Genomic DNA, 27,625 nt, shown 5'->3' with positions numbered 1-27,625 from the left:
TGCAGCACAGTGTTATCTTTTACAAAGCAAACCTTTGTCGTTTATTTGCTTAATGATCTGTCAGTTGCTATTGACCTGTGCTTATAATCTTAAGAACAAATGTATATAAAGCAACTTACAATGTAGCAGATTTGTTCTAAAAGTTTTACATATATTAATTTAACAGTTTATTAGCTGAAAATACAATGATGAATCAGTAGATTAGATCTTTTTTCCTTTATGGAAAGGAAGTATTTAAAATCTAGTTTAAGTCTGCCTGAATGGTAGAGTCCAGAATTCAGATCCAGGCCCTCATTCTCTGAGGCTTCGTTGTTGGATGACTATAATTTCTCTTGTGGCTCATTTGATTATTAATACTTTTCTTCTCTTCTGTATTAAGATGCTTCACTTCCACCACTATTACATTGGAGCTCTCCTTCTGGTTCCTTCTTTGACTTCTGTCTGACATCCACATCTCCAAATCCCATTTCTTCAGTTACTTTTTCCAAAGATCTTTGAAACACAGCCATCAGTGGGAGTGTCATTGTTTGCTTTGATATAGATACAGAAGGTAATGGACAAGATTTCAAGTGTCTCCTGCAGTTACTGAGGTCAGTAGAGGAGGAAATATGTAAATTTATGCTTCTTATAAGGATGTGAAGAATTTAAAACTTCATTCCCTGGCTTGCAGATCTGGCCATACTCACTGCATCCAGACACAGTACCATATTTTCTTCCATCTCTTTGTTTTCTTAGGTTGAAAATGAAAACAGCTGTTAAAAATAAGAGCACATGAGTCAATCTTGAATCCCAATGTAATAATTACAGTTTCCATCTCAGTTGGTAAAGTCCCTCCCAGTGTACTAAGCCCCATATCACAATCCCCTTGTGGAGAGAACGCTGCCAATGGTATTGTCAATTTTATAGCAAGACTTTAATTTTTGTTTTTCAAACCTCTAAGATTAAACATTAAATCACTTGCCAAGCCAAGAAAAATAATGAGGAAAAAATACTTCGATTTAAAAACTTGATTCTTCATATCTCAAAATAATAAGAGCTATTTATGACAAACCCACAGCCAATATCATACTGAATGGGCAAAAACTGGAAGCATTCCCTTTGAAAACGGGCACAAGACAGGGATGCCCTCTCTCACCACTCCCATTCAACATAGTGTTGGAAGTTCTGCCCAGGGCAGTCAGGCAAAAGAAAGAAATAAAAGGTATTCAATTAGGAAAAGAGGAAGTCAAATTGTCCCTGTTTGCAGATGACATGATTGTATATTTAGAAAACCCCATTGTCTCAGCCCCAAATCTCCTTAAGCTGATAAGCAACTTCAGCAAAGTCTCAGGATACAAAATCAATGTGCAAAAATCACAAGCATTCCTATACACCAATAACAGACAAACAGAGAGCCAAATCGTGAGTGAACTCCCATTCACAATTGCTACAAAGAGAATAAAATGCCTAGGAATCCAACTTACAAGGGATGTGAAGGACCTCTTTAAGGAGAACTACAAACCACTGCTCAGTGAAATAAAAGAGGACACAAACAAATGGAAGAACATTCCATGCTCACAGATAGAAAGAAAGAATATCATGAAAATGGCCTACTGCCCAAGGTAATTTATAGATTCAATGCCATCTCCATCAAGCTACCAATAACTTTCTTCACAGAATTGGAAAAAAACTACTTTAAAGTTCATATGGAACCAAAAACGAGCCCACATTGCCAAGACAATCCTAAGCAAAAAGAACAAAGCTGGAGGCGTCACGCTACCTGACTTCAAACTATACTACAAGGGTACAGTAATCAAAACAGCATGGTACTGGTACCAAAACAGAGATACAGCTCAATGGAACAGAACAGAGGCCTCAGAACTAACACCACACATCTACAACCATCTGATCTTTGACAAACCTGACAAAAACAAGAAATGGGGAAAAGATTCCCTATTTAATAAATGGTGCTGGGAAAACTGGCTAGCCATATGTAGAAAGCTGAAACTGGATCCCCTCCTTACACCTTATAGAAAAATTAATTCAAGATGGATTAAAGACTTAAATGTTTGACCTAAAACCATAAAAACCCTGGAAGAAAACCTAGGCAATACTATTCAGGACAAAGACTTCATGACTGAAACACCAAAAGCAATGGCAACAAAAGCCAAAATAGACAAATGGGACCTAATTAAACTAAAGAGCTTCTGCACAGGAAAAGAAACTACCATCAGAGTGAACAGGCAACCTACAGAATGGGAGAAAATTTTTGCAATCTACCCATCTGGCAAAGGGCTAATATCCAGAATCTACAAAGAACTTAAATAAATTTACAAGAAAAAAAACAACCCCATCAAAAAGTGGGCAAAGGACATGAACAGACACTTCTCAAGAGAAGACATTTATGCAGCCAACAGACACATGAAAAAATGCTCATCATCACTGGTCATCAGAGAAACACAAATCACAACCACAGTGAGATACCACCTCATACCAGTTAGAATGGCGATCACTAAAAAGTCAGGAAATAACAGATGCTGGAGAGGATGTGGAGAAATAGGGATGCTTTTACACTGTTGGTGGGAGTGTAAACTAGTTCAACCATTATGGAAGACTGTGGTGATTCCTCAAGGATCTAGAACTAGGAATACCATTTGACCCAGCCATCCCATTACTGGGTATATACCCAAAGGATTATAAATCATGTTACTGTAAAGACACATGCACACATATGTTTATTGTGGCACTATTCACAATAGCAAAGACTTGGAACCCACCCAAATGTCCACCAATGATAGACTGGATTAAGAAAATGTGGCACATATACACCATGGAATACTATGCAGCCATAAAAAAGGATGAGTTCATGTCCTTTGCAGGGACATGGATGAAGCTGGAAACTGTCATTCTGAGCAAACTATCACAAGGACAGAAAACCAAACACTGCATGTTCTCACTCATAGGTGGGAATTGAACAATGAGAACACTTGCACACAGGGTGGGGAACATCACACACTGGGGCCTGTTGTGGGGTGGGGGGCAGGGGGAGGGATAACATTAGGAGAAATACCTAATGTAAATAATGAGTTAATGGGTGCAGCAAACCTGCATGGCACATGTATACCTATGTAACAAACCTGCACATTGTGCACATGTACCCTAGAACTTAAAGTATAATCGAAAAAAAAAAAAAGAAAAAATTTTCAAAAAACCTTGATTCTTGAAACATGCTCTTTTTTCAAAATTTAATTTAGATTTTGACCAAATCTCTATGTTACTATTGGAAATGTCAGTTACTGTTCCATATTCGTTTCTTTTCTTTTTATTTATTTATCTATTTATTTTTTTGAGACAGGGTCTCACTCTATTGCCCTGGATAGGGTGCAATTGTGCAGTTATAGCTCACTGCAGCCTCAAACTCCTGGGTTCAAGTGATCCTCCTGCCTCAGCCTCCTGAGGGGCTGGGACTATGGGCATGTGCCACCGTGCTCAGCTAATTTTTTTTGTAGACATGTGGTCTCACTATGTTGCCCAGGCTCGTCTTGAACTCCTATCATCAAGTGATCCTCCATCCTTGGCCTCCCAAAGTGTTGGAATTACAGGTGCGAGCCACCACCATGCCTGGCCACTGTTCCACATTTTTTAAAATGCAGCTTCGAATGGACTTCGTGGTATCCTCACTGTGAATAGTTTTGCTTGAACTCTTGTAGAGGCTAAGCCTTGAATTCTTTTCTCTTTTCTCAGTTCCTGAGGTTTATGATCTAGTAAGCCAATCTCAAAAGAGTCATCTACCACCTATTAATTGATTGTTACCTTTGAGAGCAGATTGATCCTTTTTTAGTTCTGCTTAGTTCCCCATATCAACTATTTAGTCTCTTACTGAATAATCCCACTGTCTAAAGCTGTGATGGTTCCTCCTCACCCCCCAAATCAGCTGCCTCCAAATCACCAATGTAATGTTGCCCTATAAATGTGCTATTGGCAGGAGAGCTTTGTGCCTTATAGGAGGAGAGTCAGGGAACTTGGCCTTTTCACTCACTTCACTTTGCCCTTTTATTTCCCCTTTCTAAGGCTTGATTATTTATTATTTGATTAGATTATTTCTGAAGTTCATTTCCTCATGAAGATTTCTATAATTTTGTAATCATTGTGTCCCCCAAGAGCCAATTTTATGTGCTGGAAATGAAGACACTGCATGCCTAGCATGACTTATGGAACTCTGAGAAGGCCGTTCAGCCCAGCTCCCTCTATACACCTTAAGTTCCACCATTAGATATTCATTCCTTGTGGTAGGATAGTACCTCTCAGATATGACACCATTTAAAATCCAGTATGTTTAGAAGGGCAAACCCGTAAAACTAGTATGTAAGACAATATAGCATCATGGTTAGAGGCAAGCTCTGAGGTCAGACTACATTTCACACCTGGGCTGTGCCACTCACTAGCTATATGATCTAGGCAATTAATTCATCTTTCTGTGCCTCAGTCTCCTCATCTGTAAAATGAGGATAATTATACTCTCCTCGAGGGTTTTTGTGAGGTCTCAATGAAATCTGTAAAGTGCTTAGATGAACATTATCCTGCTTTGTAAGTGTTAGCAATTATTATCTTCATTTGCATAAATTGGCATGTTGTGTTGATGCATATTGTATTGAAAGCTGATACCGAGTCACAGAGAAATTGTTTTGTTGGGAAACTGGAAGGAGATACTTTGAACACAAGAGGCACTGTTAAGGGACGGCCTTTCTGAGTAAGGTGTCACAGCTGGTAGCGTAAAGGCGCTGGGTGCCTGTGGGTGGATAGGGGAGCATGTATAAGAGAGGGTAAAGGAGACGGGCCTCCTTCTAGTCCTAACCACTATGCTCAGTAACTGATAGAATTCATCAGCTAGGACGATGAACAAGTAGTGTGATGTACACCTGCAAATTAACTTTGAATTCAGTACTTGCTTAACTTTCTCTGTGTCTTATAATCCCATGCCTTGTCATTTTCAGATAATGCTAGGTCTCTGAGCCATTACACTTGAAGAGCTATGGGGAAATCTAGAGTGTTTTATCTTGCTGAATGCCCTTTCTTCTTTTCTTTAGATTACATGAAGCAGATGACATTTGAAGCCCAAGCCTTTTTAGAAGCTGTGCAATTCTTCCGACAGGAGAAGGGTCACTATGGTTCCTGGGAAATGATCACTGGGGATGAAATCCAGGTAATATGGGGTTCAAAATTTTGGATTCTCTCTGTGTTTGGGTATTTGGGTGATACGAAGTCAGGGTCATTTTATTAAACAATCAAACAGAAAAGTTGCAAGTATGGAAGATGTGGTTCCAAAGACCATCTCTCTCATGTCTGCAAGCATTGGTCAGGAAACTACTGGGCACCTACTACAAAGACCACCAGACTGGGCATGAAATAGGGCAGCCAAAAACATGACAACTACAGTGGAAAGAGCTGCCTCCACTGTTTTCTATGAAAAGAATTACTCTTTCAAATGACCTCGTGCTTCCAGACTAGAATCAAGTGTGAGTACCGAGGAATAGTGCGAAGTGCATGACAGGGCTTTAGCTAGGGTCCGCAAACTTGGACTTCAGTCATGCCAACTTATTTAACCTCTTTTAGTCTTAGATTACTCCTCTGGAAAAAATAAGAATAATAATGTTTACCTTGCATCATCGTGACAAGTGAAGTGCAGTTGGGGAAGTATTTGGTACGCAGCTGTCTTTATTGAATTATATGTAAATGAAGTAATGAAAAAAACAAATTCAAAAAGCATTAGACAGTTTTCTATATATTTAATTTATCTTTTCTAGTTTTCTGTGCCCTGTGGTACATTATAATTCCTCATGATCCTGACTAGATGCCAATCATGGCCTAAGCACTTCAGTGGGCTTGGTCCCAGGGACAGTATTATAAATCTAAGGAAACTGCTTTGTGATGTGACCCCAGCCTCCATGATGACACCAGTCACATGGCTGCTTCACCCAAGAAGAGGAGGCTGGGTACGGGCATATTTACATAAAGTAACACGGTATTTAAGAATGCTATTTTTTTTTTTTTGAGAGGAGTCTCGCTCTGTGGCCCAGGCTGGAGTACAGTGGCGCAATCTCAGCTCACTGCAACCTCCGCCTCCTTAGTTCAAGCGATTCTTCTGCCTCAGCCTCCCGAGTAGCTGGGACTACAGATGCATGCCACCACTCCTGCTAACTTTTGTATTTTTAGTAGAGATGGGGTTTCACCATGTTGGCCAGGCTAGTCTCAAACTCCTGACCTCGTGATTCCCCCTGCCTCGGGCTCCCAAAGTGCTGGGATTATAGGCATGAGCCACCACGCCTGGCCCCACTATTTTTTTTTTCCACATCTCCTAGGGTACCTCTTTTGGGAGCTAGTGAAATTCATTATTAGAGAACAATATTTGGAGGATGCTGAATGGTGCCTTGCCTCTGTGTGGTCATTAAACAGCTAATGCTGAAAACTCATGAGGGAGCTCTTCTTTATTGTTTCACCATATGAAAACATGTGTTTACCATCAGAATCTTCTCTTTCTCTCTCTCTCTTTTTTTTTCTGTCTGGTAGATTCTAAACTCATCTATTTCCCAACCTGAGACTTGCTTCTTTCAGAATTTTAAACAAGTCTTGGTTTCTGATATTTTGGGGAAGCACAGCCATTCATAAGTGTGAGAGAACTAAATAGTTATGTACTTATGCCATTAAGAAAAACAAAAGTGTCAGAAGGGGAGGCTGAAGCACTTGACACTGGCTGGCCTGCCATGTAAGCCAACATAGTTAATAGATAGATGAGTAGTCAAATGCTTTTGTGTGATACTTGACAATGTTCGAAACCTAATGGTGTTTGTCTTGCCAATCTTATGAGATGGGTAAGGCAGTTATTGTTATTTCAATTTTGTAAATGAGAAAACTGAGGGAAGCATATAACAGCTAAGTGACTTGCCTAGTCTCATTCATTCAACTACTATTTACTGAGCACTGACTCTATGCCGGGCAATGTGCTGGGGGCTAGTGACCCAGAGATGGACAAGACAGAATGGTCCTGGCCCTGTGGAGCTGATAGTTTCAGAGTTACATGCTAAGTGGACAAATGCAAAGGCAATGATGGCTTCTGATCCTGGCCGAGTGAAAGACCAACACCAACCATGGGAATATACTAAGTTACACATTTATTTTTTAATAGCTCCTTGAGTTCAGCTATGCCACTTGCTTCACTTTTTTCTTTCACTTGGAAACTAATGTGAACTTACATTCCTCCATGATGCCATTGAAAATAGATATTTAGGCCAGGCGCAGTGGCTCACGCTTGTAATCTTAGCACTTTGGGAGGCCAAGGCGGGCAGATCACAAGACCAGGAGTTCGAGACCAGCCTGGCCAACACAGTGAAACCCTGTCTCTACTAAAAATAGAAAAAAATTAGCTGGGCATGGTGGCGGTCCTGTAATCCCAGCTGCTTGGGAGGCTGAGGCAAGGAGAATTGCTTAAACCTGGGAGGCGGAGGTTGCAGTGAGCCAAGATCATGCCACCCTACTCCAGCCCAGGTGACAGTATGAAACTCCATCTCAAAAAAAAAAAAAAAAAAAAGAATATATGTATTTAATAAATCCTTTCTGGGAGTTGAGTTTGAGTTTGTTTTGGCTTCAGGCTGATTATGTGCTAAGTGGTGTAAGTTGGAAGAGAGAGAAATGACTCGTCCCTTGCCATCATGGTGAGGCGAGACACACATAGAAAACATGCAGAAGACAAGGCACATATGTGTGTGGGGTATATGTATATGGGTCTCTATATAGATGGAGATTGTAAAGCATTTGTGCAAGTGGTCATAGTAAGCTCCTAGTTTTGCAGGATAAAAAACATTTTAAGTGGGAAAGCAAAACAAAACAAAAAAAGCAGAAAAGAGATCAGAAATCACTGGAGGTATCAAGTGTCCCACTAAGAAGTTTCACAGGGGCTGGGTGTGGTGGCTCATACCTGTAATCTTAGCACTTTGGAAGGCCAAGTTGGGAGGACTGCTTGAATCCGGGAGTTCGAGATTAGCCTGGGCAACATAGCAAGACCCTATCTCTTCAAAAAGTTTTGTACAAATTAGCTGGGAACAGTGGTATGTGCAGGTAGTCCCAGCTATTTGGGAAACCAAGACAGTAGGATCATTTGAGCCCATGAGGTCAAGGATGCAGTGAGCTGTGATTGTGCCACTACACTGGGCAACAGAGAGACCCTGTCTCAAAAAAAAAAAAAATGGTTTTGCTTCTCTCAGAATTTAAGTGTTTTGGTAAAATAACAGACTAATAAAATGTGAATGCTGGAGGGGCATTTCAGGATTATTTGTCCAGCACCCTACAGGTAAGAGAAAGAACATTCAGAGCAGTTGGCTGAAGTCAGAAAACTAGTCTGTTACAGAAATGCATTTTAAACCGGCTTGGAGAAGCTGGTAAAAGGAAATGGCCTCTAAAGCTTACTGTGTGAGGCCAGGTAAGGATTATAGTTCCCCTCAGACTCTAAGACATGGTGCATAACAGTAAAGCAGTGTCTACCCTAAGACTCATAGAAAAAAGAGGCCAGGGGCCCGGAGAAGCTACCAAGTGGTTAAAGAAAATGGCATAGCATAACTGAGTTTGAGAAAATGACATCTTTTGTTTAAAGTGCTGGGTTTATTTGCATTTTTTCTTCCTGTCTGCTAAGACCTTAATCTTAACCCTGTCCTGAACCCCTCTACCCTAGGGGCCTGCATTCAGACTTCCAGCCTTGCTCCATTACCTTCATAGTAATGACTCACACAGCAAGAATGGAAGGCCCTCATAGCGATGGTTATTTTAGGCAAGTGCTCAGGCAAAGCAACTATCTCAGAATAACTTGCCTGGCAGACTGTTAAGGTGAAAATATTTGTATGCCAGTAAAAACATCAACATATTTTCTACTTGTCAATATAAATATATCAAATGAGATCATGAGGGAAAGGGCTTTGCAACTGTAAAGTATCTCTAGCTATGTGATATATTTATTATTTGCTTTTAAAATACCAAGATGGGCTAGAGAACAGCTCATAATTCCCACAGAACAGTTTCAAGACGGAAAAAAAAAAAAAAAACAAAAAACAAAACTACCCGCATTTTTAGGCCTTGTCCACGTGCTCCAGAGTTGTCTTTTGCTGAAAGATCTTAAGTGTGACTCCTTTTGACTGGATTTTTTCACCCACGGCCACTCAGTAATGCAAGGGGCCTGGACCAGCAGCCTGGTGAGACTGCGGGGCCTGCTTCAGGAAGGAGGGTGGTCTCTCTGGACCCCACACCTTCCTGACAGCTCAGCATCTGAAAGGAAGCACTGTGGTGTGGCCTTCAAGGGGCGATCCCGGGTTTGTTGGTTTTGATCAACCTAGTGACATGCTTAGTTTCTTGTAGGAGTGATAGAATTTTTAAATCTCCAAGTCCTAGCAGTTAAGTATACAAAACACTGCCCTTGCCAACACCCCCCATTAAAAAAAAAAAAAACTGAAGTATTTTTAGGTCACTTATGTTAAAATTCAGTGGATACTGTTCTGAGGGGAAGAGGCTAGGGAATTCCTTCATTATTACAATTTATTTATTAGATTAGCTACTTTCTCTAGAAAAGCCCAAGACCTTAAGACTCTGCTTGTGGAAGGCAGACCATGGTAGGGAATGCCAGAGTGGGCTCTGGGGAGGTGACAGGCAGCACTCGATCAGGGCAGGGTGGGGCTGAAAGTCGGAGGATGAGGATGGTGGTTGGGATGCGATGCACTTGAGCTTCAGCACCCACAGGCTCTGCTGCCCTGTGGCTATTCCCTGAGCCCCACTCCCCCACTGTATTAGTCCGTTTTCATGCTGCTGATAAAGACATAACCGAGACTGGGTAATTTATAAAGAAAAAGGGTTTTAATGGACTCTCAGTTCCATGTTACTGGTGAGGCCTCACAATCATGGAGGAAGGTGAAAGGCGCATCTTACATGGCAGCAGACAAGAGAGAATGAGAGCCAAATGAAAGGGGAAACCCCTTATAAAATCATCAGATCTGGTGAGACTTATTCACTACCACTAGAACAGTATGGGGGAAACAGCCCCTAGGATTCAATTATCTCCCACCAGGTCCCCCACACAACACATGGGAATTATAGGAGCTACAATTCAAGATGAGATTTAGGTGGGGACACAGCCAAACCATATCACCCCCCCGCCACTCGTAACCCACTCCCACCCTCTCTTTTTCCTCGCAGACATATTTCCTTTAATTCCCTAAGTTGTAACATAGAGCCAAATTTCTTGGAACATTGTGTGGGAAAGACTAAACAAAACTATAAGCCCACCCAAATGGAACATTATTTTTCTTTGGCCTTTATATATAGCATTTTCATATTTTCAAACCCATTTCACACTTATGCTAAAATTCTGACCAGTCTCTGCAAAAGGATGAATTGGGACAATTCTTATGACCCTTGAGTTTCATAATGTCAACCCACTGATTTTAAATTCTGGCATTGGTCTCTCTTCCTCTTGGCTCACTCTTCCCATACCACACTTTCGGCAGATGTGTTCCAAACAAGAACTTATCCCATTGAGCAGGGTGGGCTGGTGGATTATTAATTACCCACTGAATCTATTAGGTTGGTGCAAAAGTAATTGCGGTTCTTGCCATTACTTTCAATAATTGTTGGACCTGCTAATTTCCATGGAGTTTTGTGCATGTTAGGTTACTCTTAAACACCACAGAAAATGGTGATTCATCTCTTGACTGCCCCCAGAGAAGGCTGAAGAAAGGTCAAAAACATCCCCACCAGTGAATTACCAGGGCTAGTGGAAACTCTGTCCCCATCATAACTTTTGTCACGCCAGGCAGATCCACTTGGCAGATGACAGGAGCCCCACTTGCTGCCCAGAGCTAAGCACCTTCTCTGCCAGCAACCCACAGGCACAGTGGGACTGGATAGCTCGTCCACCTCCACCCTGAGAGTGTTTCTATTTGCTTCAGTGAAAGCGTTACACCTTGCTGCGACAGAGCCCTGATTAAAGGCAAGATCAAATGAGCTCACGGGCATTTCCACTAGTGACCAGTGACCTCAGAGCAAATCTTCCTTAATTCCCAAAGCATAATTTGAATTTTTATGAGAAGTGAAAGGAGGAGGTCAGTTATTTTGGACAAATATTATTTCAAACTCATAGAACAGATGTTTCAAGTGATTCCCTACTTTTCTGCCTGCTTCCCTTCCTAAAACTGTGCTTCCCCTTTTGTAAATCTTAGTGTGCAGCCTATGATTGCAAGCTGAGCTGTGGGCCTTGAAAGACTCGTGGTGAAAGTGAATCTGAACAGCAAAGCTGCTGCAATTCAGGAGCAGGGGTAAAGAAGGAAGGGCCAGTAGCATGAGTGGATGTGTAGAATACTGCTCAGATTCACAAGAAATAGTTTAATTGAGCCAAGCAAAATTTTAGGAGTGATGTGGGAACACATTTTTTAAAAACACTTGAAAAATTTAGACACTCCCTCCCATATTCTTTTTTTATTTTTTCCTTTTTCTTTGTTTCAGTCCCATTAATTATCTCATACCCTCCCATAAATGTTCCAAATATTTGTTTGTTCCAAAATATTGGTTATTGCCTTCTTTTTCCTTTTTCAAACTGTATCCAGTCTTATTAAAGATGCTTTTTGTAAGCAATCATCGTATATTAGACAGGCCATGAGCAGACAATTGCTAACAGTATACAACAACTTCCAAACTCTCTTCTTCAATGAACCAAAATCAGACAGCTGTATAAAACCCAGTGAAATCTTCATTTGCTTAGACTCTCGATTGCAGTGAGGGTTGACATTTCACATGTAGCATGTTGTTTAACAACTTTTCATGAGCCAATCTTGACTTTCAGGAAATGAAATGAAAATGGCAGAATCATCAGTCTGGAGATCCACAATCTAAAAAAGGAACTGCTGTTGTTTTGAGAGCTGCCCTCTCAATAGGGGTCACTGGAAGGTCCAGATGGCCACCTGACTGCTAATTAATTTTAGGTGTCAGGTCCCAACAGGTCTCTGGGTTTAAGGAAGTTGAGACCATACTAAAGGCAGAGAGGGAGAAGAAGAAATAATGAATTTTAGTTTTCCCACACCATAAGGTGTTTGTGCCAAGGTAGCTATGTGTGTCAATGCCAGGAATCCCCCTCCTGGGAGCCAAGAGGAAGTTTCTCAAAACTGGAAGAAAAGGTGTTTCCCCACATTAATCCAGCTTCGGAGACATTCTATTAGTGACATATGCCCCTTCCCCCCGAAAAAATGAAATGTTCTGTGTAATAATAACATAGCTTTAAGAAAAGTAAGACAACATTCTACATTTTTATAAAACTCCATTTAAAAAAAAATAGTATTTCCAATTGTATGGTTACCAGAAGTACACAGTTATCAAAAACGCACACACTTCCCCTGGCATCTCCAGCATCGTCAGCTTTCTGTGCCTGGTCTGTTCTGGCATCTCCATTTTCTGCAGGATTATTTCCCTCTTTGCCAGTGCCAGCCTTTCCCTTTTTTCCTTCTGCGTACCTTCTCTTCCTTCTTAGCAGGGGCCTTTTGGGGCTTGGGTTCTGGCTGTGGAGAAGCAGGTCAAGCAGACAACCTTGCTGATCTTCTCTGTGGTTTATCCTTCAATGTGGCTGTATCTCTTGGAGCATCCCCTCAGACTTTCTCCAGTGCTGGATGAAGGCACTGCATGGTGGGATGCAGTGGTACCTGGGCTCTGGTCGGTCTAGACGTCATTCTCACTTCTTCACACTGCTCCTCCCTTCGTTTACTAAACATTAAAGAGGATGACAATGGGGCTTGGGGGACAGTGGGGACGAAGAGCATGGAGATACTTTGATACCTTGATCATGAAGGGCTTAGGAGGAATGATAGTCCCAGGGGACACAGACTAAGATGCAAGCCACCAAAACCAAGCCTTGCAATTCCTTCACAATTTTGCTGAAGATGTCCTTATCCATTATTGAACTCTTTCATTTTACTGTATGCCCTAAGTTCTTCTAGTTTGAATATGTGAAGTTCGAATTTGGGGAATTTGTTATTTACATTGGGAAAACAACAAGGTGAGAATATCAGCAGATGTTACTGTTCCTTGCGGATGTTTAAGAATGTTCAGCCTCTAAGATTGTCTTAGTTGAGATTTCTGTGGCCTCTGTAGTAGGTTAAACTATTAACCTACTACAGAGTTCATCTGGTCCGGGACAGGGACAGCCAATCAGGACATTTTTAGTTGGCCTGATGCTCAGATGTAGCCATCACCGACTGACCGACTCTGGGCTGTCTTCTGCTGCGCAGATCCTGAGTAACCTGGTGATGGAGGAGCTCCTGCCCACTCTTCAGACAGACCTGCTGCCTAAGATGAAGGGGAAGAAGAATGACAGAAAGAGGACGTGGCTTGGTGTAAGCAATGGTTTTGCTCTACAACTGAGCTACTCAAAATGGGAACATTCTCTTCCCTTTTCTTTTAGGGCATTTGTTGTTGTTGTTGATATTCCCTTCCCTGGGTGTAGAAATGCCTACTTCGAACCTGCTGAGTCTCACTTACAAGAAGACTGTTCCAAACAGACTCCAACTTTGAAAGAAAAATTACAATGTGTGTGCAGTTCTGTTTGTTATGATGGCCTGTGATGAAGGCTCCTCCCTCCACTTGACTCCATCAGTGCTTACACGTGACAGAGCCCTGATTTATGTGTTATTCCTTGTTGCAGCTCCTCGAGGAGGCCTACACCCTGGTTCAGCATCAAGTTTCAGAAGGATTAAGTGCCTTGAAGGAGGAATGCAGAGCTCTGACAAAGGGCCTGGAAGGAACGATCCGTTCTGACATGGATCAGATTGTGAACTCAAAGAACTATTTAATTGGAAAGATCAAAGGTCAGTAGAGATAATCCATGCTCTTACTAATTAAATAAGCTGTACATGCAGGGATCCACCACATAGCAGGAATGCATGGTTTCAGAGGATAATTACACTTAAGAAATTGGGAGGAGGTGATCACAGCTGCAACAGGAACATGCTGGAGGTACCATTAGGGGCCTGGGCCTTCCCGTGGAAGCTTCATGGACACAAGGCAGAGGAAAGTTTGTTTCTTGCCTTTGGCAGTGCCTGTGTATTTGATACTGCCTGCACCCCCAACCCCCATTGTAGCACCCTTGACACTGAATTAGACTGGCTTCTGCTCCACCTCCTCTCTGCCGTAAGCTCTCAAAGAGCAGAGCCATGTCACCCTGGTTTACTCAAGTACACCCAGGGCCTGGTGTCACGCCTGGCATATACAGACTCAGCAAATATTCAAATCAATTAATATATGGATTTTCCTCTAACATGAAAGCCCAAAATTTTGGCTTGGAGTCATACCCAGTCACCCTACAAACCCAATAAATGTAGGTTTGTAGCCCCAACTCCAATATTAGGCAGTCCATGCATAATTGGGGAGGTCACTCACCTTCTGTTTAGCTCAGTGTCCTCCTCTGAAATTAGGAGGACCCACAGGAGTGGGATTGGCAAACTGAAGCCCTTGAGCCATATTGGGCCACCACCTGTTTTTGTAAATAATGTTTTCTTGGCACACAGCCAGGCACATTCATTTATGTATTGTCTGTGGCTGCTTTTGTGCTACAACAGAAGTGAATAGTTGGAACTGAGACCTTACGGACCACAAAGGCACAAATATTTACTATTTGGTCCTTTACAGAAAACAGTTTGCCTATTCCCATACAAGAGACCTTAGATGGCCTCTAAGGAATCCTACAGAATGAAATTCTATGGTTCTCCATTCTATCTGGGGCCTCTACAACCCAACAAACACACCCGTACCTAGTGACCTAGTGTCACTTCAGAGGAGAAGCTTGCAGGCTCATCTGTGATTGTTTATTGACAGTCTTCCTAGAAAGTTCTCAGATTATTCCCTCACTCACTCATTCATTCATTAGAAACTGTGGACTAAGTGCTTTCCAAGCGAGACAATGGAGCTTTAGCAGTGACCGAGGAACACCCTATTCCTGTGCTCAGGAGGCTTAGAGTCTCGGGGCTGTCGGCTTTGTGGATTAGCCTCTGCAGTTCAGGCCCCCTTTCCACTGCAGCCCAGCTTGCTTCAGGGTTCTTAGCACAGGTCCTGCTGAGAGGAGGTTTGAGGAGGCACAGCTCCAGCACTGGTGTGTGTGTCTGTGTATCTCTGGGTGTCTATTTACGCCATCCTTTCCAAAGCCAGCTCTACATTAACCTCAGAGTATTTGATGTTTTCTACTATCTGTGTCTCTTATTCCTCCATTAGTACAACTAATCTAGAGTTGACTATATATTGAAATACTTTGTACTACTTAAAACTACCAGTGCTCAACTTCTGTGCCAAAATTTCTGCTATCTGGAGCTAAGTTGGGCCTAACTGTAGCCGTTCTCATGGCTGAAACTAAATTGTCATCCTTTGCTTAAATCTCTGTGGCTCCGGTGTATCCACATATGATGGAAAAAGATTTTGCCCTGAATTAGTATTTATTTCCTAAAAGAAGCCGTAAAAGGAAGTAATGATCAAGTCTTTTTAAAATGGAATATCAGTGTTACAGCTCTTTTAGAATTTGTCTAGCAGGCTTTCCAGTTTTTGCTGGAAAGCCCAAAAAATGAAAAATAAATAAAATGAAATATCAGAAACACATTTTAACTAGGCATCCAGTGCTCCACCTTTAAAACAAGGAAGTGCGCTTTCGGCTGCATTAATAAAGGGCTTTGTATTTCTAAAAAAAAACCTGGGGAGTATTAAATGGTGATCTGTCTATTTCCTCCCATATGACTCTTGGGAGTAAAGCCCCTGAGCTTTAGTTCTGCTGCACAATTATTTATTCATTCAATAAGTATTTATTCTACTTCTGCTGAGTACAATGGCTGGAATGACTCAAAGAAGACAACGTGATTTTACAAGGAGAGGAGGATACAAAGCATGTCACAGATGCTGAGACAGAAGGAAAAACATCTTCCTACCAGCGGTAGAACAAAGAGCACAGTGGTTCCCAATGTGAGCATAGATCCCATTTCAACCTCAAGAAGCTATGTGGGCCCCTCATAATGAGAGCACAGGTCTAGTGTCGGGGGACTGGAAAAAACGATAATGCCAACAGGTACAATAAGAGCTAACAGTTACTGAGTTCTTCCAAGGGGCCACTTCCAGAGTTGTAAGCACTTGTAATATAGTAAACTCATTTAATCCTCACCATAATTGCTTTTATGATCTCCATTTTACAGATGATAATACTGAGGCAGAAATTCGGTAACTTGCTGAGATTCCAGAGCTAGTTGTGGTAGAGTCGGGCTCCAAACCCAGGCCCTCTGGCCCTCGCCTTTCAGGCATCATCGCTCTGTTCAGCTCCTTCCTTCACTTCAGTAAGGCTTATGAATTAATGTATCAAACACATATGCATCACAGCGGCATCTCTGCATGCTTGAAAAATAGCAGTGCATACACGAATGGGACATGGAACTTATCCAGCCCATAAGGAAACACCTGCAGACCCCAGCTCAGGAAGCTGTGTGGGAGTTCCAGGACATTAGGGTGAAATTTGAACTGGGCCTTGAAGAGAGGAGTAGGATGTTTATGAGCAGAGGTAGAGGAAGGAAGGCAAGGTAAAGGAACATTGAATAAAGGTGCAGAGAGGGGGCGGAAGCACATTGTGGTAAGTAGGCACAGAGGGAGAGTGGGCAGAGAGGAATATACCCTCCCACGGCCCTCCTGTGCCTATCTTGGCCCCACCCAGATCTGCCATCTGCTGCTAGATCTTTATTGCATATTACCCATGTTCAGCATTGTTCTGAAATTTCCATTAGATGCTTTTCAAATACTTCCTCTCTTTAAAGTTAATTAACTAATAATTAATTTATCTCCTGACAAACAGTTTTACACTTTAGTGTCAAGCAAGTCATTTTTAGAAGACTCTTAGATTGTGTCATATTTGGATCATACAATTGAAAGGGTTTTTTCTTAATAATTCTATGACTTGTGTAATATTTTACATCCCAAATATTTCTGAGTGATTTGTAATATTAATAATATTAGTCATTTTGGATTATCAGAATAAGAGGCCATGATCTGGTCCTGCACAACTCTGTGAAATATTTCCGCCAGTTGAAATAAGAACGAGGCCATTCATCTCACTGTAAGCAAATTCCCAAGAAGAACTTAAGAAAGACACTTGAATGTTAGCCCTGCTCCTGAAAATTAGGGTCTGATGTTTGTCCAGTCATCAAACATCTCCAGGCCTCATTTTTTTCATCTGTAAAGTGGAGAGATTGGATACCAGCTCCACTTGTGCTTCTGTTCTCAGTTCTGTGATTCTATGACAAGGCTCTGTGACCTGCCTCAATCCACAAGGCTAGCCTTCTAGTCCACGGAGCAAGCTCAGGCTTCTTCTAGCTCCGGCCTCCTTCACTCCATTGCGTCTTCCTAGCTGATCATGAGAGTTACCTCTGCTCTGAAAACAATGCAGGTTTCCATGTCCTACCCAGACTGCACCAGGAGCTTCACTGTGCTCTCCCTCTTCTAAATCAAAGAGGAGTACTTTCCTCTGGGGAGTGGAATTATAGTGGCATTTTTTCATTCTTCTTCGTGATCAAAATGTATTCTACATTTTTGTCACTAAGCATGTCATCTTGGTCAGAAAAACCTATTGTGATTTTGTTTTGTCTTGTTTTAATCAGGGATGGGGACAGGAGGTAGGGTGGCAAACTGAATGGAATTTGGTTCCATTGGCCCAAGAAAAGAATGTACTGGAGTTCTTAAAAAGTATTTTGGTGGGGAGAGGAGGATGGAATTATACTGAGTGATTAACTCCTAGAGAAATGAATTAAAACAATAAATTGTGTTTTTAGAAGACAAACTGTGCATATTTAATGATAGTGATTGACAGTAGATAGGTGGATCACCAGCCTTTTCTTCTTCATATGAAGAGTTGCATGTTCAGAGGGACCAAGCAGAAAAATGCATTTTATCCCAGGGCAGAGGAAAGCTTGGGGAGTGGATAGGTTTGGTCCAGTTCTGAAAGGGTCCAGTGGTTTTCCTTTCTTGTGACCATGGGCACCAGGCTCATTGTGCTAGTCTGTCATGGCCTCTTGAGCTTGCCTTGGCTGTTAAATGGCTCCGTGGGGCACCATTCAGCTCTGGTCTGGCTCCAGTGCCCACAAACCCAGTTTTGCCATATGTCACGGTTTTTTGGCTATTTCCTACCTCAGCGATGGTGGCCCAGCCGGCGGAGAAAAGCTGCTTGGAGAGTGTGCAGCCATTCCTGGCATCCATCCTGGAGGAGCTCATGGGACCAGTGAGCTCGGGATTCAGTGAAGTACGTGTACTCTTTGAGAAAGAGGTGAATGAAGTCAGCCAGAACTTCCAGACCACCAAAGACAGTGTCCAGCTAAAGGAGGTAGGATACAAAGCTGAGGAGCTGGGTGTGAATGGTCTGCCTGGCTGTGTTTTCCATGGGGCTTTATCTGCCATTTCTCCCTCCCTTCCTCCCTTCTTTCCTTCCTTCCATTCTTCTGCCCTTCCCTCCATTCATCCAGCCTTTCTTCCGTTCATTCAGACCCACCATTCATCTGTCTATTCATCCATCCACCCATCTGATAGTTTTACTGATGGTTTTCAAGTTAGAAAAATAATAACCTGTGTGTACAAGTGAAGCAACATACTCAAATATATTAAAGGCAAACTTAGTCACCATCACTGATACCCACTAATCCTAGTCCACCCCAGACTCCTAGGCTACCCCCATTCCAAACTCCTTGAATTAACTAATAGAAATAGCTTGGTATATATTTTTCCTATAGTTTTTATTTATTCATACAAGTATATATCCTCATTTGTAGAACATTGTTGGTTTGTTTTCAAAAATATAGACTTATGATATGAAATTTGATTAAAAAAAAAACTTCAGCCAAATTAAATCTAAAGGAGTTTAATTGAGCAACAAACCATTTGTGAATCGGGCAGCCCCTAGAATCACAACAGATTCACAGACACTCCAGGGGTGCCTCACGGTCAGAACAAATTTATAGACAAAAAAGATCAAGTGACATACAGGAATTGGAAGTGAGGTACAGAAACAGTGAAATTGGTTACAGCTCGGCATTTGCCTTATTTGAACGCAGTTTGAACATTCAGCAGTCTATGAGTGGTTGAAGTATGGCCGCTGGGATTGGCCAAAACTCAACTATTGTTATAGGTGCATACTACTAAGTTAGGTTTTCAATTTTGTCTGACTATTAAGCTAGGTTACAGTTCATCCACAAGGACTTATATATATAAGAAAGGAGTCCTTCTTAGGCCATAGTTAGTTTGCATTAACAATTCCCCCCTTTTTGCAAAGGATATGAACAGCCACTTCTCAAAAGAAGACATTTATGTAGCCAACAGACACATGAAATAATGCTCATCAACACTGGTCATCAGATAAATGCAAATCAAAACCACAGTGAGATATCACCTCATGCCAGTTAGAATGGCAATCATTAAAAAGTCAAGAAACAACAGATGCTGGAGAGGATGTGAAGAAATAGGAATGCTTTTACACTGTCGGCGGGAGTGTAAACTTGTTCAACCATTGTGGAAGACAGTGTGGCGATTCCTCAGGGATCTAGAACTAGAAATACCATTTGACCCAGCCATCCCATTACTGGGTATATACCCAAAGGATTATAAATCATGCTACTATAAAGACACATGCACACATATGTTAATTGCGGCACTATTCACAATAGCAAAGACTTGGAACCAACCCAAATGTCCATCAATGATAGACTGGATTAAGAAAATGTGGCATGTACACCATGGAATACTATGCAGCCATAAAAAAGGATGAGTTCATGTCCTTTGCAGGGACATGGATGAAGCTGGAAACCATCATTTTCAGCCAACTATCACAAGGACAGAAAACCAAACACTGCATGTTCTCACTCATAGGTGGGAATTGAACAATGAGAACACGTGGACATGGCAGGGAACATCACACATGGGGTCCTGTTGCAGGGTGAGGGGCAGGTGGAGGGATAGCATTAGGAGAAATACCTAATGTAAATGACAACTTGATGGATGCAGCAGACCAACATGGCACATGTATACCTATGTAACAAACCTGCACGTTGTGCACATTTACCCTAGAACTTAAAGTATAATAAAAATAAAATAATAATAATAATAATAATTCCCCCCTTTTGGTCATTTTCTCAATTTTGAGAAAATGACCAAAACCTTAGTCATTGATGTTACTAGCACTATTGTAAATGTACTTATATGGTTTTGAAACCCACTGGGAAACAGTAGAACAGTGGGTTTTGCAAGGAGGGAATAAGGACTGAGTAGAGAGTACCTTCTTATGCTGGAACATCCTATTTACAGGAGAAAAACAAAACCTGGTATGTTCTAGGATCTATGTGTTTTCTTAAAGCCCTAGCTTGATTATGTCACATTTAGCATAAGTGGCTCTATTTTAGCTTGGTTTGGTTTGTTGGGGCCTAGTGCATGAGCTTAGTCCCAAATAATGGCCTCCCATTTAAAATTTTGTTTAAAAATAATTCCCCCTCTTGGGCCAGGTTTTCACTTAGGTGAGAGTGTGACCAAAACTTAGGGCCTTAGTGCCACTTTCAGTTACCATCATTTTGGGTTTCTGGTCTCAGCATGTCATTCATATAGGTTATGGAGTCCTCATGGTCACATGTTTCTTTCAGCTTTTGTCATTTCAGTTGAAGGGGGACCATTTGACATCCTAGAGATGGCTACATGCAAACATTTAAAACCTTTGAGAGAATACAGCACACCAGGAAGACTATTATTATGACTATTGGGAGGATAATATCAAGAGTTTGGAGTATGCTCCTTACCCAGGGTCCCCATAAACCAAATCACCTAAAATTAAATAGATTAAAGAATGAGCTAGATGAAGAGTCTACTCGCTTGACTAAGTGGTCTTTTCATTAATCCCCTACAGCTGGATTTTTATAATCTACATATGATGTATTTCTCCATAGGCCACAAGTGTCAGCAGCTGCATAGGTACTTTTCTGTTTAGCCAATTTTATTATTTAGCATAACTTTCACAAGAGAATTTAAAGTATGTTGTGTAACGACAGCCTTTAAAGTAGAATTTACTGTAGGGCCTATTATGAGGGAGACATTTCTAATTATTGCCTTTTAGTCTAAACCATGGAAAAAGGACCTAACAAATGATGTCCTTCTAGAAGAGTGAAGGCCTCCTGGCAGTGTTCTCTTTAATCCATGATGCGGATTAAGAAGAGTTTTGACTGATTATGAGGCAACGTGTGTACCACTAAAGTTTCTCACCTACACTGGGCCTTCATTTTTTATCTATTAAAGTATAAGGCTATTCATGTATAAGGCTGGCTGCAAAATCCTTCACAAATAAAATTATACCCTATAAGTGCACATAATAGACCTCCTTTTCATTTATACTGCTCATAGAGGCATACACAAGGAAAAAATATTCAAAGATCAGAGTCTTGTGATAGCAGAAGTCTTGATCCATGATCTTGGGAAAAACTGTTCACATCAAGGATGTCATCTTCTTCTGGGGAGAAACTGTCCTGGTTAGATTAGCTTAAGGGGTCCAATGGGTGTACAGTTCCAGGAGTGTGAAGGAACCCTTCTCAGTTGTGAGATTATGGACCCAAAGTTCAAGTCTCCAAAGTTTTGCTGTAGTGTGGAGGGCAATGACAGTCTTTCTCTGATGTTTTCAGAAGATCTAATCTTCAGGTTCTAGATTATGAAGGGATTGTCCTCAGTGAACCATAAAAAGCTTTCTTTACCTGGGGAAAATACATTGTAGCATAATAATCTACTGTTATAACATCAGCCCTCTTGCATGGGAAAGCTTTTATACAACTAGAAAACATGCATTGAAAATGACAATTGAATGAAATCCCTTTATAAATGTTTAAATGGCCCATCAGATAGCCAAATGTACCTGACGCTTTAATTTTTTCCCCAGGAATATGGAAGTGAATATTGGTTCTAAACTGTTTCCACAATTTATAAGTCACCATATCAATATATTCAATTTGGATTATTTTATCTTTTCCATGATGAGTCATGGAATGCAGAACCTTTAATAACAAAAGCTTAAGGATTCAGGAAGGACAAGGTGGCTGTCCTAGTTCTTCATGAGTCCATGCTTAACACTGGACTTACGTCCTCTTGAATACCAGTTGTTTCTCCAATTTAGGTGCACAGCACTGATAACTAATGGTTTATCATAGGTAATTTGACTTAGACCATGGAGTTCATTCAAATTGTATATTTAAACAATTTCAGTATTGGCTGATTTAGCATGATAATCTAGAGCTTGGTTTTGAAAGGTTTGTCAAATACCACAGGTTTAAAACATTGGATATTACAAAATAGAATCTTAGGTTACCATAAGTCATTCATTTAGCCAAAATGATGATACAAAAATTTTTAAAAGGATGAAACATGACTCTGATGGAGAGGGGAACAGCTTTCCAAATAAGACCCAATGAATGTAGCATGAGGCCAACTGACTGTCTCCTTGCCTTCCCTTTTGTAGTTTACTTAAAAGGTAAACAAAAACCTTTCATTATCTTTTAATATTATATAAAAATCATTTTTAAAAGAGAAAACCAAATTTTATGTTTCCATTAGTGTATTTTTAATGTTAAAGCTAGTTTTTAATATTTCATAAATATATTCAGTTTTAATTACTTTGACCATAAGGTAAGATTTTTATAAACCTTTTATAACTCATTAGAATTTTTTTTCTCAGAACAGAACAATGTTCCAAGAAAACTTTGTTATGCTTTTATTCCCATGTCCAATTTAGGGAAAAAGCAATAATGCCATTTTATTTAGCCAATATATTCACACATAGAATCTCTTACAGTTAATTTTTTATAAACCTTCCACAACCTGTTCAAACCTTTAGCTTTGTATAATTTAAAACAATCCTTTAACCCTCTAACCTAGGCAAAAATTTACATTTCCATATGTTCTTATAATCTCTTACAAAAAATACATTTAATTCTCCTTACATACCTTGCATGTAAACCTATTTTTTTCAGTAGGCTCAATTACATATTACAGTGTTAACTCATAGCAACTTTTACTTTTGGTAAAAACCTTGGTGAGTAAGGGATTTTAATTATGTACTAGGTGTGGAGCCTAGGACCCAGATAGAAATGCAGATAAGGTATGACTTATTCCAGCATCGAACTCCATGTGTCCCAGGCCTTAGCTAGCTGTAAAGCCAGCAAGCTGTACAGTGAAAAGTCATAGTGGCAGCTTATGAAGCACCTTCAAATTATACAACATTTCTGGCATAAATTCCTTTTAATAAATTATTTCACAACTTACACAGACCATGTACGACATGTTTAGACTTTCTGACTTGCTTAAACATCCCTCTTTTTAAACAACCAGTCATTTTACTTTAGGACAATAATTTACCATACAACATCCTCTCTTATATAAAATCTCTTTTCTTTATAACCTTCTTTATATAGCTAGGGGGCATGGTTAATTCCATATATCCCCAGGCCTTATTTAGAATTTAATGTCTCCAAAATAAATTGAACAATTTTCAAAAGTCAAAGCAGTTAGCAAACCTATTATCTGACCTGCATAATTTAGACAAAATGTCTTTATTTTAACAATAATTTTTAAAGCTGTTTTCATTTCCCAAAAATTACTGAAGTTAATGAACTAAAAGGTATTATAGTTTTTATTTTGCTTTCAAAATATTTGATGTAAGTGCTTATTTTTGTTTAAGCCAATTAGAGTTCTTTTATATAAACATTACACACAACACATATATAATTACATAGACAGACAGACAGAAGAACATTACACAGTAGTTGTAAGATTTTTCATTTGCTAGATTTTTAATTTCTTAATTGGTTATTGGCTTTATGGTGGAGTCCTTGGAAGAACAGGGCCAGGAAAGGGGTCTCTGGTGCCTCCAGACTGTTAGAGCTTGATATTCACTTTTAATTAAGTGGACTTTTAATCATAGCACTCTTTAATAAAGTATTTTTAAAATTTCTTATTAACCAATTTTAGCCAGGCCAAATGACTGATGTTTCTGGCTTTTGAACTTTACCAAAGTAGGTAATCTCCCAGATGCTCAGAGAAAGGAAAATTTAAGATAGTCCATGGAGGAGAAGAGACTAGACAGGGTCATGCAGATATTCAACCAGAAAGAACTTGCTTCCTAAGCAGGGAATTGCACCTGGACCACCAGTGTGAAAGGGCAAAACCTTAGCTACTGAGCTACAGCATGGAGCAATCTCTACTGCCCTTCCCAGAAGGCATCTAGAGTAGTTAACTTTGAGTTTGCAAAGGCTTTAACTACTCAAGATAATTTTTAGAGCTAACTATGACATAAACTCTAAAATTCCATTCCCTGGAAGGCAGAGACCAAGAGAAAGTACTGCTATGTGGTTACAAAGTCAAGCTCCCAAGGACATAAAACAAGATGGAGATAAGCAGTGATTTTTACCATTCATTCGACTGTTTTTATATATAGAGAGAAGCCAGAAATCTGACTGGTAAGAAATTCTTACCTTTTGGCCGGCATGCCAGGCTCTGGGCTCCCTTTCCCTGAGTGGCTCTAGTGACCCAGCTTGCTGCACCATCCTGCTGGGGGCCAAGCCACGTCATAAAGGAAAATTATTATTTTTTTCATTCTGGCTAGAGCAAAATATGTATGATAAAACATATACATTAGCCACTCTGCTTAGCACCCAATATCAAACTGGCAAAGCTTAAATTTGCCCTCAGATGGCCCTCCTCATCTTTAATCAAACCTCCGACTAGGAGTTTCAACTTGTGGTCTCTGGGCAAGATGGTTGCCCTGAGTAACAGAAAAGATAGGAAAGGAAAATAAGATGAAGGAAAGTATTGCCTGTGGGAGGGTGCATAAGGTGAAGAGCTCAGGGAGGCCAGAGCAAGACCCATTCATTTCAGCGACACTGAAAAGTTCTGATGGCCACTAGTTAGTAGCGAAAGGATCTTTTCCAGCAGTCTCATCAGCTCTCAGGTTTCTCCCTTTTCCGGGAGGGAGGAAAAAGCTCCCCATGTCCCACAATCCTGTACATGCCTAATCCTGTCACCCACAGCCATCAGCAAAGAGTGCAAGTCAGATTATTCCAAAGGGAATAGCAGTTGACATCCTGTAGTGCCAAAACCGTTCCTAGCCAAAAGGGACTTTACTGAGAGCCCTCATTTTAAAAATGTACTTCAATGCAGCCGGGCGCAGTGGCTCAGGCCTGTAATCCTGGCACTTTGGGAGGCCGAGGCGGGCGGATCGTGAGGTCGGGAAATCGAGACCATCCTGGCTAACATGGTGAAACCCTGTCTCTACTAAAAATACCAAAAATTAGCCGGGCGTGGTGGCGGGGTGCCTGTAGTCCCAGCTGAGGCAAGAGAATGGCATGAACCCAGGAGGTGGAACTTTCAGTGAGCCAAGATCGCGCCTGCACTCTAGTTGGGAGACAGAGTGAGACTCCGTCTCAAAAAAAAAAACAAAAAAAAAAAGGAAGAAAGTACCTCAATGCATTGTTGTTCTTTCGGAACATTCCACTGTAAATTATCTTCAGTAAGATTTTGCTGTTTCTGTAAGACTTCACTGCCTCCCAGGCCTAATGTATAAGCCAGAAGGAACTCAGTTTTCCAGAAATTAAGGAGCCCATTTTAACCTAAAATATTGGCTTTACTCCCAGGTTCTCTTAACTTAGCCAATGATTTTTCCTACCTAAGCACACAAGAAAAATGAAAAAAGGGGTAGAACACAGAAATCCCTGTGAATTTTCAAAAGCCAAATTTTATAACCCCTGCAATATTACTGCTTACTACCAGTTCCTTTCTGACCCAGTCAGATATACGAGGCCTCTGACTGGGTCCAAGCCAGTTAATTCCTGGATCAAATCTGTTCCTGGACCCAGTCCAGTTTCTGTCATGACTACAAACCCAGTTTGGATCAGAAACTTGCTCGAAGAAACTCAGAGAGCTCAAAACACAAATCTATGGAGCTTCAAATTCCGAGAGGGAGCTTACCGCGATCCCCAGCCGCTCTGAGAGATCAATGGACACAGGTGGGACCTGCAGGTACCTTGTGTGTTCACTCAGCGCTCCTGGGAGTCACTAGAAGCTCCACTTCGGATCCTGCTTCTGACACCATCTGATAAAAGAAAAACTTCAGCCAAATTAAATTTAAAGGAGTTTACCTGAGCAATGAATGATTCGCAAATCGGGCAGTCCCTAGAATCACAGCAGATTCACAAATTCTCCGGGGGTGCCTCACAGTCAGAATAAATTTACAGACAAAAAAGGTAAGGTGACGTACAGGAATCAGAAGTGAGGAACAGAAATAGTGAGACTGGTTACAACTCAGCATTTGCCTTATTTGAACATTTAGCAGTCTATGAGTAGTTGAAGTATGGCTGCTGGGACTGGTCAACACTCAGTTATTGTTACAGGTGCATACTACTAAGTTAGGTTTTCAATTTTATCTGACTCTTACAGTTCATCCACAAGGACTAAAATATGGAAGTATGGAGTCCTTCTCAGGCTGTATTTAGTTTGCTTTAACAGATCAATATTTCTGAAAGTATGGTCCCCAGACCAGCAGTGTCATCATCACCTGGTTGTTAAAAATGCAAATTCTCGGGCCCCACCAATGATCTACTAAATCAGAAAATCTAGGGGTAGTGCCCAGGAGTCTGTTTTAACAAGACCTCCAGAGGTTCTGGTGTACCCTACAGTTTAAGAATCACTGAAAAAGATATAAATTGGCAGCTTGGTTTTATACTTGACATATCATGATGAACATCCTTACAAGTCAGTAGATAAAACCAGATGTCTCTATTTCTTTTCCTTTATTCTTTATGCATATATACACATATATAATTGTGCATTAACAGGATCATTTTAGAAATGTTTTGGGGTTTCTTATTGCAGCCTGTTTTGTTTTACTTGTCTTCACTCTTCCCCTTCCCCAATGCCACCTCCTCCCCTCAAGCAACTCGTGTTAACAACTTAGCATATGCCATTCTGTATTTTCCCCATTCTTATCTAGCACATAAAACACACCCTTAGAGGCTAGACTTTAGATTGTCTGCTTTAAGAAAAATGGGATTATATTTTATACATTACTCTGCTTATCAGTTTCTCTTCCAAAAATACCCCATGAAACTGTTTCCAAGGTAACTGTTTTAGCTCTAAATCTTTCTTTGTAATGGCTGCATGATGTTTCATGTATGGATACACCATGATTTATTCATTCATCTCAATATTGCTGGCATTATGAATAAAGCATAATAAATTAATATTTTTATGTATACACATATATATGTATATATATATACACACACACATATATATGTGTATATATATATACACACACACATATATATGTGTATATATATATATACACACACATATACCCTGATGTATTTATTTCTATAGTATATTCTCCTAAGACAAGATAGCCAGGTTGAAAGTACATTTCTCATGTTAAAAAATGTTTCCATTGCATTTCAAAAAAAAGGATTTAAATTTTACATTTCCACTAATTGTGTATGATAAGGGCTTTCTCCCCCATACTGCTATCAGCTATAGGTGTTATCATTTGATT

At 40.6% G+C, this 27,625-nt stretch overlaps 1 protein-coding gene, 1 long non-coding RNA gene and 1 pseudogene across 9 annotated transcripts in view, besides 1 other annotated feature; 2 read left to right on the top strand and 1 right to left on the bottom strand.

Annotated features, from left to right (window-relative positions):
* Positions 1–27,625, top strand: part of NIBAN1 (niban apoptosis regulator 1) — a 183,477-nt gene that overhangs the window by 137,480 nt on the left and 18,372 nt on the right. For 4 of the 6 annotated variants that reach the window (XM_047444102.1, NM_052966.4, XM_047444094.1 and 1 more), the window contains exons 6-9: positions 5,067–5,182; positions 13,287–13,391; positions 13,700–13,862; positions 18,204–18,391. In XM_047444102.1, the coding sequence (XP_047300058.1) occupies positions 5,067–5,182; positions 13,287–13,391; positions 13,700–13,862; positions 18,204–18,391 (572 nt within the window). The remainder of the gene's footprint in view (positions 1–5,066; positions 5,183–13,286; positions 13,392–13,699; positions 13,863–18,203; positions 18,392–27,625) is intronic. The other 2 variants (XM_047444098.1, XM_047444091.1) reach the window with 1 other exon arrangement.
* On the bottom strand, positions 144–26,123 carry LOC107985238 (uncharacterized). Of its 3 annotated transcripts, XR_001738337.2 has the most exons (3): positions 26,047–26,123; positions 24,555–24,630; positions 21,289–21,785 (listed from the first exon to the last, which is right to left on the bottom strand). It is a non-coding gene; the product is annotated as an uncharacterized LOC107985238 (long non-coding RNA). The 3 variants fall into 3 exon arrangements; XR_007066769.1 differs by lacking the exons at positions 21,289–21,785; positions 26,047–26,123 and adding an exon at positions 144–752 and having other exon boundaries at positions 24,555–24,752; XR_001738336.2 differs by lacking the exon at positions 26,047–26,123 and having other exon boundaries at positions 24,555–24,752.
* Positions 11,187–11,387: a silencer, noted in NCBI's record as "peak504 fragment used in MPRA reporter construct". NCBI's record gives its function as "represses an SCP1 promoter by STARR-seq MPRAs in K562 erythroleukemia cells {active_cell/tissue: K562}" and the evidence as "EXISTENCE:reporter gene assay evidence [ECO:0000049][PMID:32103011]".
* RNU7-13P (RNA, U7 small nuclear 13 pseudogene) lies at positions 15,540–15,599 on the top strand (annotated as a pseudogene).

Source organism: Homo sapiens, chromosome 1 (genome assembly GCF_000001405.40).
Source record: "Homo sapiens chromosome 1, GRCh38.p14 Primary Assembly".
NCBI lineage: Eukaryota > Metazoa > Chordata > Mammalia > Primates > Hominidae > Homo > Homo sapiens.
The sequence above is the reverse complement of the archived record's forward strand: the minus strand, read 5'-3'. Positions and strand labels throughout refer to the sequence as shown.